We start from the raw sequence: 12,621 nt of genomic DNA, 5'->3' as shown, positions 1-12,621 counted from the left end.
GCATTATAAGGAGTTATAAGGATCTTCGGAGATAACAGATGTGCAAATGTCCAGGAAACTGCAGGGTTGCTGGGGGCAAAAGGAATCCATAATGGGTGAACTTGCTGCCCCGGTAAACTGTTTCCCTCCATGCAAGCTGGCAGTGGGGGGGATGCACCGAGGTGTGTCCCAAAGAAGGTGTGAGAGTGAGCTGCAAACTCAGAACCTGTTTCCCCTCCATCCCTCAGCCCTTCACAATGGCTCCCTTCCAGCCCTGCCCCAACTCTGTGCACCTGTGCATTACCAGTATACTCAGGAGCTAGACAGACAGACAGAAAGAAAGACCCAGTCTGCCTCCTGCCGCGGCCTCATGGGTGACAGCAGTCTCTGCCTGGGAATGAGTGTGACTGGCAGGAGGGAGAAGAACATGGCTCCCAGCAAGGCTTCTGCCTCTGGTCATTCTGGGCAGTTCCCCCTGTATGTTGAAGGGAACTGGCCAGTGAGATGGCAGGGGTGGCCCTGGTGGGCACAGTGTTGGGAATGGTGAATGTTATTGGTGGCTTAGACTTATTTTATGCATCATCTCATTTAAACTTCTGAGGTGGGAACTGAGAGTATCCTCATTTCTCAGAGGCAGGAAAATGAAGCTCAGAGAAGTTAGGTGACCTGCCCAAGGTCACAGAGCCAGCAAGAGCCACAGTTGAAATTTGAACCCAAGTTCTTCTTTCTCCCCACTCAGATCACCTGGGAGCCCTATTGGCTTGAGCCAGAGGAAGCTTCTGGTTGGATTCACTGACACTCAACCCCACTTGACTCAACCAGTAGCCAAGCACTTGGCTGAAGAGACACAGATGAATAGGGGTATTCCAACCTCACAGCAGATACTACTATTATTGCCAATTTACAGCTGAGGAAACTAGGGCCCAGGAAAGTAAAGAAACTTGCAAAGATCACACAACCAAACACTTGGCAGAACCAGAATGGAAACTGAGGTCTTCACTTCTGGCTGACCCAAAGATCCATGTTCTAGCATCACAACAGTGGTTCTCCAACCGGGTGCTGAGATTCTGCAAAGTGGGTGCCTGTGGGGAGCCACATAAGCAGGAGGGCTTCTATGCCACTCACCCGATTCAACAAGGATCCTGCACCTTTATCCATTTCACACCCCGGGGTTCTGCATAAGCAGACAAATGGATCTGCGACTTTAAGGGATTTGGGAAGTATCTGCCCTTGGGGCGACCAGGCAAACAACACCATGAATGGTTATTGCTCCCCCAGGCTTGGGGTTCTCTCCACCGTTTTGAAGCATTCACCCGATGCAAACTGCCCTCCACAACTGTGTCTTTCCCCTCCAGTGTACCTCTCCCTGTATTACATGTGCACATCTGTTTTTCCTGTCAGCTGTGTAGGCATTTTCAAGTAACGCTGATCTCTGGAAACTTGGCACCTAGCACCTAGCATGAGGCTGGCATGGGCTTGGCACACAGCTGGTGCCTAGAAAGTACTTGCTGAATGATTGTGTGAACAAATGAACTAATGGATGGGCAAGGTGGAGAAAGGAATGAAGTTGACCTCTGTAACAACTCTGGTAGGGATCTGGAGAAGGATTGGGTAGCTGATGGGACTGCCACGTGCTCAGCATGGGGATGGGGCCCAAAAACTGGTCTGGCAAGTACAGGACTTCACTGCAAGGCTGTTTGAAGTGCACCTCCAGGCCGGGCGCAGTGGCTCACGCCTGTAATCCAAACACTTGGGCCCAGGCGGGCGGATCACCCGAGGTCAGGAGTTTAAGACCAGCTTGGTCAACAGGGTGAAACCCCGTCTCTACAAAAACACAAAAATTAGCCGGCATGATGGCGGGTGCGTATAATCCCAGCTATTCAGGAGGCTGAGGCTGGAGAATCGCTTGAACCCGGGAGGTGGAGGTTGCAGTGAGCCGAGATCGCGCCATTGCACTCCAGCCTGGGCGACAGAGCGAGACTCCGTCTCAAAAATAATAAAATAAAGTGCACCTCCCTTCTTTCCCCCTGGCCAAGGCTCAGCAACCAGACTCCTGGGAGACCCCATTCCCCACCCTCGTCCACTCGCCCTCCGCGCCTTTTCGAGGTCCCGCTGCCCGCGCTGGCCCCGCAACCCCTCCGCCTCACCGACGTACCGGTTCCACCGAGCAGTGCGGGGATGCATCAGCCCCGTCTCTAGGGAGGGACGCTAGGCCGTTGCTAAGGGGCGGGGCCATCCGGCACCGCAGGGCGGGAGCTTCCGTCCGCGAACCTCCCCAGCCTGAACCCTTACCTACCCACCAACTCCAGGTCTCGGTTACTTCCGCCCAGGACAGTGGGACTGGGATGTTCCAGCATATGCCCCGATCGGCAGGATTAGGGCCGACCAGGGAGCGTCACTCTTCTAGGCTCCATTACCCACCCATCTTCCCTCCTGTGCCCTTTTAGAGTAAGCAGCGAAACAGCTAAATGCAGCGTGAGAACTTTGATTAAATCCTGATTTAAATACATATACATATGTAAATAATTTGGGGAGGAATAATTGAAGAAATTTACGAACTGGAAGTTGGCATTTAAGCCACAGCTGCGGGACAGCTGGTCAGGGCACTGAGGAAAAGGTGGGTTCTGGTTCTCCTGGGGCTTGGCTCACAAAGCCACACCCACCCATTGCACGGTGACTCCACTCAGGCCGCCGCTTCCGCTGGGCAGCGGATGCGCCCGACACCCCTCGGCTCGGGCGCCCACCCTCTGATGCCCCTCATCTGCTCTCAGCACCTGGCATGGGTTCAGGTTTTGATCTTCCTGCCCTATTCTGAATATTGAATTATTGTTAATTTTCTTAGATGTGATAATGCTACTGTGGTTGTATCAGACTGTCCTTAGTTGACGTGGCCTGAAGTGTTTGAAGAAACACGTCAGAATGTCCGCTACAATTTCCTTTCAAATGGTTCAGCAAAAATTATACATATAGGTAAGCATAGCTAGATAAAAAGACAAAGAGGAGATAAAGCAAAAGTGCTGCAATATAACAATTAGGGAATCTGAAGGTCACAGATGTCCATGTACTAGTCTTCCAATTTTTTCTGTAAGGGAAAGAAGTGGTTTACAAACCAAAAGAACCAAAAGAAAAACATCACCCCATCTGTACCTGAGAACCCCTGCCCACAGCCTTCTCAAAACTGGCCCCATTTCACAGATGGGGAAACAGACTTGCTGAGACGGTTAGTACTAGGGGAGGTCATAGGCCCTGATGTTGAATTTTACTTGGCATTTTAGTCGTGCTGGCTTGGTGCCAGGCCTGTTGCTGGGCACTAAGTGTCTGGAACTGAACTGGACCCTATCCCCACCATAAAGTGTATTGAGTGGGAAAGATGGAGAGGCCAGGCCATGAGGAACCTAGAGGCAGGGTGTAATCTATGCCTGGAGACAGTGGTTCAGCCCTTGCACAGGCTTCTGCTTCCTCTGTCTAGAACCTGTCTCCATCCACTCCTGCATCTGGCGGACTCCTACTCACCCTTCAAGACCTGATGGTGGTGCAACCTTTCCTGAATCCAAACTGTGGTTTTATTTTTCTTGTTGGCATTCACACAGGTACTCAGTGATCACTGCAGAAGGAAGAAAGGACTGTGAGGGGAACTGGAGGCAAGGTGTCCACAGCTCTTAGAAGGGACAAGGACTCCATAGCCCTGTTTAGGGCAGTCTGGCTGCTCAATGGGTCTGCGTATAGGTTGGGTACCCCCCTTGGCCTGTAGAGAGGCACCTGCTTCCCTGCTTTTGCCTGGCACTTCCCACACTAGGTACAGCTGTCCAAAAAGCTGCAGCATCTATCCGGGTTGCCATGGCAACATCAGCCTATGGTGGGATGTCAGGGATGAGAGGGGCAGAATGCTAATCCTGGAAAGTTGCCAAGCAACACAGTGGGCTGGTGACATCACAGGGGCTGTGGCTGCTGGACAGATGGACAGGCCACAGCTGAAAGGGTCCACTCTCAGGAGGCCCAGCTCACAGAACCACTCACTGCTTACCATGTGATGGTCACTGCTGTTTCTCCCAACTGGAGAATGGACTTGAGGGGTGGGGGTCGGGGGTGCTGCTTTTACCAGCAGCCCTGCCAGCTCCACTTCGCCCCTCTTCAAGGGCGGGCTGTGGATATGACTGCCTCCCTCCTCCCTGGAAGGACACCGTGAGTCAGTCCCTGTTCTCCTGGGTCTCAGGGGCTACCCTCTAATGTGCTGTCTTCTCCCATGGCTGCGCAAGGGTTCAGGCTTTGGTCTTCCTGCCCTGTCCTGAAGGCCACCATACTTACCTTGCTCCCTGGGAAAGGAGCAGGGGGCTGAGCCATGACCCACTGGACTCCTGCCCCTCTTGTGATGGGAGGGCCATCTTTTGCCCTGAATAAGCTGGAAGAGAGGTCAGCCTTACCCTTGTTGAAATGGGAGGACTAGGTTTCTACAAGAGTTGGGGAGTCACTGCCCATCTCTTACTCAGATCCCCCTTGCTGAGGACTCTGGTGGCCTGGAAGCTGGGGGATTGGGGCAGATGGGCTGCTTAGGATGCCCTGGCCCAGGGCCATGCCTTTCCAGCATGGAGTCTGAGGTCATGGCAAGTCTGCACACCCCCTCCCCTGTGTCTCCTTGCTGGCTGAGATGGGAGCAATGCTTCACTGGCTGCAGAGATGAAAGCCCCTTGTGAATGGGCAGCAGAATGGGCCCTTCATGTGGCTGGCCAGCCAGAACGGAAGGTGACAGGCATCCAGACTGAGTGGCTGAGCTACCCGCTCCCCACCTGTCCCCAGCCTCCCTCTTGGGCCCCCAGGATCTTCCTCTGATTTTCTAGGCCTGGAGCTCTGAGCTATGCCACAAGAAAGTGAGTTGCAGGCATCGGGGGCGGGGGGTGTCAGAGAAGGGAATGGGTGAGGTCTACGATTCACTGCCTCCCCAGGCCTCCCCGACATAAGCCTCCCTGCCATTGCTCAGCTGCCCTCAGCAGTTCTGACCAGCATAATCATTTCTTTGATGAATAAAAATGGAGAAAATTTAATTCTCCTTTGATCCACATGATCACCTTGACAGACAAGACCTTGAAAGCCCAGAGCTCAAGCAAGGAGTAGAACAGAGTTTCTCCGGGGCTGGTGGACTGAAGACCACTGGCCCATGAACAGACAATCTTCATCCATCACAGCCCCCACCTAATCCCCTGCCCACCTTTACTCCTGTGCAGCCTCCCTGCCGGAGCCTCTTCCCTCTTTGTTTTTCTATGATCTTCCATGCCATCTTGGGCTACTTCTCAGGACACACTCCCTGAGTGCCTTGGCCAACAGAACACACACTCTCCTCAGGGCCCCAGAGGACCATGGTCAGTACCACTTGGTAGATGACTCACTCCCTACCATGTGATGGTCACTGCTGTTTCTCCCAACTGGAGGGTGGACTTGATGGATGGGGTCAGGGGGTGCTGGGGCAGAGGCACAGCTTTTCTCAGCAGCCCTGCCCATGCGTCAGTCCAGGAAAGACCCATAGAAATGACTGGAAGATAGAGCAACCCACATCGGGGCCATCACCTCAAAGATAGTGGCTGTTGACACCAGCCCAGTTGCACATGACCCCACATGATCCCACCCTCACCTCCTCTCCCCCAGCCTATTTTTCTCTGACCTCCATCTGAGGGTGCAGGATGCTGAGGCTCTGCGCTCCAGGAGCAGCGGCCCAAGGGGGGGATGCCTGTTGGTCCCCACCTTCCTGGGCCAAAGCGCCAGATGGCAGGCTCTGAGACAAAGACATCTTCCACAGGACATTTCCCAGGGGGGCTCCAGGAGCTGCACAGGAAACTGTTTATTATAATTAGGCTCTGAGCACCTCTGATTTTTCCTCAGTCCCAAGGAGTTTGGTGAGCGTCAGCTGGAGTAATATCTTGGCAGAGTGGGTGACTTCATCAACTTGGCCCTGTGACCCACCAAGTGCCCCCACTCCCACCTTCCAGGGAGCCTGGGTTTGCTGAGGCTTAGCTGAGCCCTCCCATCCACTCATCCCCCAAGGCTGGCCACTTTGGGGACCAGACTGCCAGCCTGACCTTTCATCCACCCCTAGAAAGGGCTCTGGACGGGGCAGGAGGCCTGGATTATTCTGATGACTCACCGGGCAAGTCCCTTCCTTTGTTAGGCCTCAGTTTTTCTTCTGCACAATGAGGAACAGAAACCTTACCCAGTGTCACGGTGGGGTCATCAGTACAGAGTGGTGTGAGGGACACCAAGACTTTTCCTGCCCCAAATACTTCCATTCCTGGCAAAAGCACTGCCCTTGCCAGACCTCCAGGAGCGAATGTGTAAAAAACTCCCAGCAGGTCAGTAAGGAAGGGTTTGTTCCAAAGAGATGGAATCCCTCACTCCCAAAGAGGTGGGGCAGCCCTCCTCCCCATCACCCCTTGCAAATGGCCTGCCTGCTTTGGCCTAGGGACATTCAAACAGCTAGGGTGGCAGTTAGAGCTGACAACTTCCTTGGCAATCTGCTCCCATACTCTGGGTCTGCAAACTGAGGTGGCAAGAAAGGAGGGGCCTCACCCAAAGTCATGGCAGAGTGGGACAGGAACCTGGGGCTGTCCTGCAGGATATAGGGAGCCACAAGGAAAAGACCATGAGACAAAGACCCATTGCCATGAGAATCCCACTTCCCTTTACAGGAGGAGGAGGGGCATCTACCTGGCCTCACACTCCTCTCACTCTTTGTCCCTCCTCCACTCCACCATCCTGAGGTGGGGCATCAGGGAGCTGGCAGGCAGGCCTACCTTTTGCGCCAGACACTGATAGTTGCTAGAGTCTCAGTTTCCCTGTTTATGGAAGAACTGGACTGTCCATCAACAGGGCCCCCAGCCATCCTCCAGCTGCCCCCTGTGGAGCACTCTCCTCCTGCAGAGTACCCACCCCACTGTCTTTCTCTTTCCCCAGTACTCCTGATAGGCCACTCAAGAGCCTGGCACTGGCGAGGCGTGGTGGCTCATGCCTGTAATCCCAGCACTTTGGGAGGCCGAGGTGGGCGGATCATTTGAGTTCGGGAGTTCAAGACCAGTGGGCAACATGGTGAAACCCTGTCTCTACTAAAAAATACAAAAATTAGGCTGGGCATGCTGGCTCACACTTGTAATCCCAGCACTTTGGGAGGCTGAGGCGGGCAGATCACGAGGTCAGGAGATCGAGACCATCCTGGCTAACACAGTAAAACCCCGTCTCTACTAAAAATACAAAAAATTAGCCAGGTGTGGTGGTGGGCGCCTGTAGTCCCAGCTACTCGGGAGGCTGAGGCAAGAGAATGGTGTGAACCTGGGAGGCGGAGCTTGCAGTGAGCCGAGATCGCACCACTGCACTCCAGCCTGGGCGACAGAACAAGATTCCGTCTCAAAAAACAAAACAAAACAAAACAAATACGAAAATTAGCCAGACGTGGTGGCACATCCCTGTAGTCCCAGCTACATGGGAGGCTGAGGCAGGAGAACTGCCTGAACCCAGGAGACAGAGGTTCCAGTGAGCCGAGATCGTGGCACTGTGCTCCAGCTTGGGTGACAGAGAGAGACTCCATCTCAAAAAAAAAAAAAAAAAGCGTGGCAATACTGGGTCTCCTGCCCACTTCCTCTGTATCCTTGGAGGCCTCTGGAAAATGTCATCTCCAAACCTAAGCAGTGACTCTGAAGTGTACAGTAAGGACTCAGGTCTCCATGTGGTCCAACAGATGCGGCCCTGAAAATATGACCCAAGATACCCCCGTCTGTTCTCTTCCCAACCTGGCCTCAGCCCTCCCTCCAAGCAGAGAGAAACTGGCCCTTGCAGACCCTGAAGGCAGGATTGGATGCTCCCAGTTTTCAGGTGAGCAGACTGAGGTCCTGGAGCAAAGCCTTGTTTTGCAGGCACACACACTGCTGGCCAGGCAGAGCTGGCTTGGCAGCTGGACCCTCGGTCCCTGCCCAGGGCCTTCCCTGCTATCCCTCCTGGTTCCCCAGCCCTCTTGGCTGGCTCTCAGAGAAGGCAGGTGGGCCTGAGGATGGGCAGGGCCTGCCCTGGGGAGGGAGCTTGGGCTGGGAAGCAGGTTGGGGGGGCGGTGGTCAGCAGGTGCAGGATAATGGGGCCACTGGGGGAGGCCCAGGGAGCAGGTGCTGCCCATGGAGGGGCTGAGGTTGCCATTGTATGCCCGGCTTTGGCGGGCCCAGAGCAGGAGGGGGGTCCCTGTGGGCCGTCAGGCTGCCCTGGCTCATGCTCACAGGTCTCGTCCTGATGCCTGGGCTCAGGCACATAGCCAGCCCCTCCCCTGGGTCCCAGCAACCCCACCAGGTTGCCATGACAACCAGCACTTTCATCCCTGTCCCTTTGTCTGGTCACGGTCCAGCTTTTGTGACCAGCCATAATTGCTGGGTGGAGGGAAGGGGGCCTTGCGTCAGGATACACGCAGCTGGGGTTGAGTTGTGAACTCAGGCAAAGGAGGGCTGGAGGGCAGGTTAAAGAAAACTGGAGATGCAAAAAGGCTGGGCTTTGCTGGCATTTCCCCCTGCAGTCTCCTCTCCTGGCTGCTGGCCACATGCTCAGAACTGAGTCTGCTGGCCCCAGAGTAAACTGTCTCATCTCTGGGCCTCATTTTCCCATCTGTGACTGCAACTGCAGATGACCCCTCTCCCCGGGTGCGCCATTGCCCTGGGAGGCAAAAAAGCATGAGCCAACCCAGAACTTAACTCCTTTGTGCAACTGAGGAAACTGAGGCATAGGGCAAAGCTAGGCCCCGGTCCCGGTCACACCCACAGTGAGCCAGTGGCAGAGCCAGACCTCCTGGAGGCGCAGGGCCTCAAGGTATTAGGCCTCCAAACCAAACAAACTGAGCCTCACAGTTGTTTCTCTCCTGGTGCCCCCATAGGGAGGAGCCTTGCCAGCAGGACTCAACAGGGGTGTGAGGGGGCCCACACCTCCGTCATCCTCCCTCAGGCCCCACCAGCTGTGTGCCTTTGGGAAAGTCCCTTAGGGCCAAGTCCCGGGTGTGAAAAACAAGGGGGTGTGTAGAAACAGTCAACCCTCCCTCAGTTGGGGTGAGAAGGAGGTAAGGCCTGCCCTGCACAACACCAGCTCATTGTCAATCCCACAAACACCACCCACCCTGTTCCCACCCATCGCCCCTGCCCACCCACATGACACGGCATTGCCTGAATGGCTGCCCTGCCCATGCTCTGGGCATTCCTTTGCCCCTGTTGTTGCCTTCCCCTGTGGTGCCCTCTGTCCTCCAACAGGAACCTGGTGGTCCCCGGTGACCAGGGCTCGGGGAGGATGGTCACCACTGTCCTTTAAATCTAAAGAATTCCTCCTTGACACAAGCGCTGGTTTTCAACAGAGAAACAGAAGAAGCAGAGAGCACTGCAGAAGCCAGTTTTGTTGCTGCAGACAGAGGCTCTGGGATGGGAACGCATGGGAAAAGGCAGTGGGATGGCTTTGTCCTTTCTTGGGTGGTTCTTCTGATCTTTGAGGGAAGCCAGGGGTTCCTGCAAGCCCCTCGCCCCAGCCTCAACACCCTGCAGCCTTGTGGGAAAAGTATGGGCACCCCAGACAATGATGCGTTTCTAAAGGGTCTGCTACCCTCCAAGGGATCTGGGGCTCAGCGGGGCCCTCAGGCTCAGGAGGGACTCCCACCACCAGGGCCATTTCACAGGCATGGCAGGTCCACTCGTACCCCTGAATGAGAGACTTGAGGAGCAGGGGGACCAGAGGGGAGGGGCTGGGGCTGAGCAGAGAACTGATTCAATAACCAGCCGGGCAGACCCTGCACGTCATTGTGGCTTTGCCATCCCAAGAAAATGTCACTTCTTCCCCATGGACATTCTTCTCTGCGATTAGCTCTCCATCTACACCGGATGTGAGTGGGGTGGTGGCAGGGTCAGCTACCTGGGGCCAACAGATGGGTACCATTGATGTACCAGTGGTACAAGACTGTATGACTGGGCAGCCCAAGCCAGAAGGAGCACAGCGTCCACCTCTGCAGCTATTCATCCTTACTATGGGTTAGGAACCAGTTACTAAGCAATTAGCATGTGGCCAGGTGTGATGGCTCATACCTGTAATCCCAGCACTTTGGGAAGCCAAGGTAGGAGGACTGTTGAGTCCAGGAGTTTGAGGCAAGGTAGGAAGACTGTTTGAGCCCAGGAGTTTGAGGCCAGCCTAGGCAACATGGCAAGACCCCCATCTCTACAAAAAATTTTTTAAAATTAGCTGGGCATGGTGACATGCGTATGCCTGTAGTCCCAGCTATTTGGGAGGCTAAGGTGGGAGGATCGCTTGAGCCCAGGAGGTCAAGGCTGCAGGGAACCATGATCATGCCACTGCACTCCAGCCTGGGCAACACAGTTAGACCCTGTCTCTGAAAAATAAAATAGAAAAGTTAGCATATGCCATGAGGTTTATACACATGTCATTTAATCCTCACACCAATCCTAGAAGGGGGTAGCTATTACTGTTTCCCTTTTTGCAGGTGGGGACACTGAGACTCTGAGAGGTGAAGCTGGTCGGGGAAAGGGGATTGGCAGACTTGGCCTGGGTAGTAGGGGAGGGTAGGAGGCAGGGCTGAGTCAACTGTTGGAAGAAGACAGATTTGGGCTCATGATACAATATTTTTATAATGGTCCCAACCAAAGGACTGGGCTGCCCAGATGGCAGGAGCTCCCTGTCATGGGAGGCATGACAGGGGAAGCTGAATGGGCACCTTTCCTGTCATTTGGACACCTGAATGGAAAGAGAGTACCTATCAGGAGCAAATGAGCCCTAAGGTGTCAATCCTGGCCCCAGCCCAGTGCTGGAAGGTATAGAGAAGACAGCACCTCCCAGGTAGGGGTTGAAGTGCCCAGGGGGCACACCCTGCTGAGAACTATGCCCCCATTGTCCCATCTCCAGGGGCGGCTTCCACTTTCCAAGATGTGTCTTTCTTAGCGAGAAATTTCAGGACACCTGAGAGAGGCACAAGGGGGAACACAAGGCTGGTAGCGAATTCCCCCAATTTTTCACCCCAGGCACTTCCCTTGTCTCATCCTAGTCCCAGCCTGTGGGGACATCTCAGAGCCCAACCCCACTCCCAAGGCCCCTCTCTGCAAGGCTGACAGCCTCCTCCTACCCCATCCCTTACACCCAACCAGTGCAGCAAGCCCCATCGGTTCTCCTCCTAAATATCCCTCAAATCTATCCACTCCTCTCTGGATCCACAGATGCAGCCCTGGCCACCTCCTCCCTCGCCTCCCAGTCACCAGTGCCAGTTCATTTTCTACCCAGCAGCCCCACAGTCCTCCCTGATCTGGCCCCACTCTCCCCACTCAGTGCCCTCATGCTGTCCTCCAGCCAGAGGGAAGCCCTTTCAGTTCCTGACACACACCCTGTCCCCCTGTCTCCTGCATCACATTCACTGCAGATTGGACATCTTTCCTCCCAGGACTGGGTTAAACACCCCTAGGTGCCCACAGCCATGGCAAAATTGTGTGGCCAGAGTCATTAACATGTCTGCCTCCTTGGAGAGACCAAAGGTGCCATGGGACAGAGTCCAACCTGTCTTGCCCAGCCTATATTCCCATCCCCTGGTCCTGCTGCCTGGCACAGAGGAGATGTTCAGTGAGCAACAGCTGAATGCATGCAAGCATGAATGTATGAATGTGAGTGTGACTGAGGCTGAGAGGGCTGTCCCACACAGGCAGGTCCCCAAGGACAGCTGAGTCCAGAAGCCATGACAGAAAGTGGACTGAGGGAGACGTTTGGGTCAGGAGACTAACTGAGCCAACAGGTCCTCTGTGGAGGCCTGGACTTGCGTAGCCCCCACTCCTGCCCTGAATCACAAAGAGGCGACAGCTTAAGATCCATGCACCTGCCAGAAGGGACAGGAATGGGGGATTCAAGCCAAATAGAGTGAGTGAGGCAGATTCCTAGAGGTCTTTCCCACTCCCTCTGGCCCACAGATTCCCTTTTAGCAAAGTCACTTTAAAGTCTTTCCTGGGGACTGTGATGGGGTGTGAGGGAACTGAGCCCAAGGCCAAAAGACCAGCCACAGTGCACCTCCCCTACTCAACCAGAGGGGAAGATGCCTCTTTGTGGCTTTGTGCACACACACACACACACACACACACACACACACACATATACACAAAACCTCCCCCACACAGAGACGGAGCAGGGCCTCCCTGGGCCTGGGAGACCTTGAACCTCCAGTCACCACTCTCTCTGTGTGGCCCCTGGCTTCCTCGTACCCCTCCCAGCTCAGCGACAGCCTCCTGAACTTCCTGGCGGGCTTCCAGGCCTCAGAGAAAGCCGCTGTCTCTGCCACACCATTACTGTCACCATCACTGCTGCTGCGAAAATGCAATTACAGCAAACAACAGCCGCCGCCTCACTTGAGCCTCGCCATCCACACCTGGAACTAATTAACTTAATTAGGCCTTAATGAGCTACACTGGTCGGAATGCCTATTTTTACTTAATTATCCCCTAATGTGCTTGGCATGGAGGAGCACAGGACCCGGAGGATGGCTTTGGCGGTGGCGGTGGCAACCACCTCCTCTCCCTGAAGAAGAGACACTCAGGAGGTGATGCCTGTCTGCCTGGGGCGGGCCCCAAAGAGCTGAGAATCACAGGAGGATGGGTGAGGCAGGGG

At 54.8% G+C, this 12,621-nt stretch overlaps 1 protein-coding gene across 4 annotated transcripts in view, besides 6 other annotated features; it reads right to left on the bottom strand.

Annotated features, from left to right (window-relative positions):
• DNAH1 (dynein axonemal heavy chain 1) overlaps nt 1-9,118 on the bottom strand; it is an 89,573-nt gene extending 80,455 nt beyond the window's left edge. For 3 of the 4 annotated variants that reach the window (XM_017006129.2, XM_017006131.2, XM_017006130.2), the window contains exons 1-2: nt 4,004-9,118; nt 3,493-3,583 (exon numbers count right to left, since the gene is read on the bottom strand). The gene's annotated coding sequence lies outside the window, so the exon portion shown is untranslated. Of the gene's footprint in view, nt 1-3,492; nt 3,720-4,003 lie in introns of those variants that run through there. The other variant, NM_015512.5, reaches the window with a different exon arrangement.
• Nucleotides 2,099-2,328: a silencer, noted in NCBI's record as "silent region_14439". NCBI's record gives its function as "represses an Ori minimal core promoter by ATAC-STARR-seq in GM12878 lymphoblastoid cells {active_cell/tissue: GM12878}" and the evidence as "EXISTENCE:reporter gene assay evidence [ECO:0000049][PMID:35858748]".
• Nucleotides 2,099-3,205: a biological region, named in NCBI's record as "H3K27ac-H3K4me1 hESC enhancer GRCh37_chr3:52350849-52351787".
• Nucleotides 2,267-3,205: an enhancer, noted in NCBI's record as "H3K27ac-H3K4me1 hESC enhancer chr3:52350849-52351787 (GRCh37/hg19 assembly coordinates)". NCBI's record gives its function as "activates a minimal SCP1, AML or CMV promoter by ChIP-STARR-seq in primed H9 embryonic stem cells {active_cell/tissue: H9 hESC(primed)}" and the evidence as "EXISTENCE:reporter gene assay evidence [ECO:0000049][PMID:30033119]".
• Nucleotides 6,022-6,221: an enhancer, noted in NCBI's record as "active region_19940". NCBI's record gives its function as "activates an Ori minimal core promoter by ATAC-STARR-seq in GM12878 lymphoblastoid cells {active_cell/tissue: GM12878}" and the evidence as "EXISTENCE:reporter gene assay evidence [ECO:0000049][PMID:35858748]".
• Nucleotides 8,502-9,419: an enhancer, noted in NCBI's record as "H3K4me1 hESC enhancer chr3:52344635-52345552 (GRCh37/hg19 assembly coordinates)". NCBI's record gives its function as "activates a minimal SCP1, AML or CMV promoter by ChIP-STARR-seq in primed H9 embryonic stem cells {active_cell/tissue: H9 hESC(primed)}" and the evidence as "EXISTENCE:reporter gene assay evidence [ECO:0000049][PMID:30033119]".
• Nucleotides 8,845-9,004: an enhancer, noted in NCBI's record as "active region_19939". NCBI's record gives its function as "activates an Ori minimal core promoter by ATAC-STARR-seq in GM12878 lymphoblastoid cells {active_cell/tissue: GM12878}" and the evidence as "EXISTENCE:reporter gene assay evidence [ECO:0000049][PMID:35858748]".

This window comes from Homo sapiens, chromosome 3 (assembly GCF_000001405.40).
Source record: "Homo sapiens chromosome 3, GRCh38.p14 Primary Assembly".
Classification (NCBI taxonomy): Eukaryota; Metazoa; Chordata; class Mammalia; order Primates; family Hominidae; genus Homo; species Homo sapiens.
Note: the sequence above shows the minus strand (reverse complement) of the source record. Positions and strands in the feature narration are given on the sequence as shown.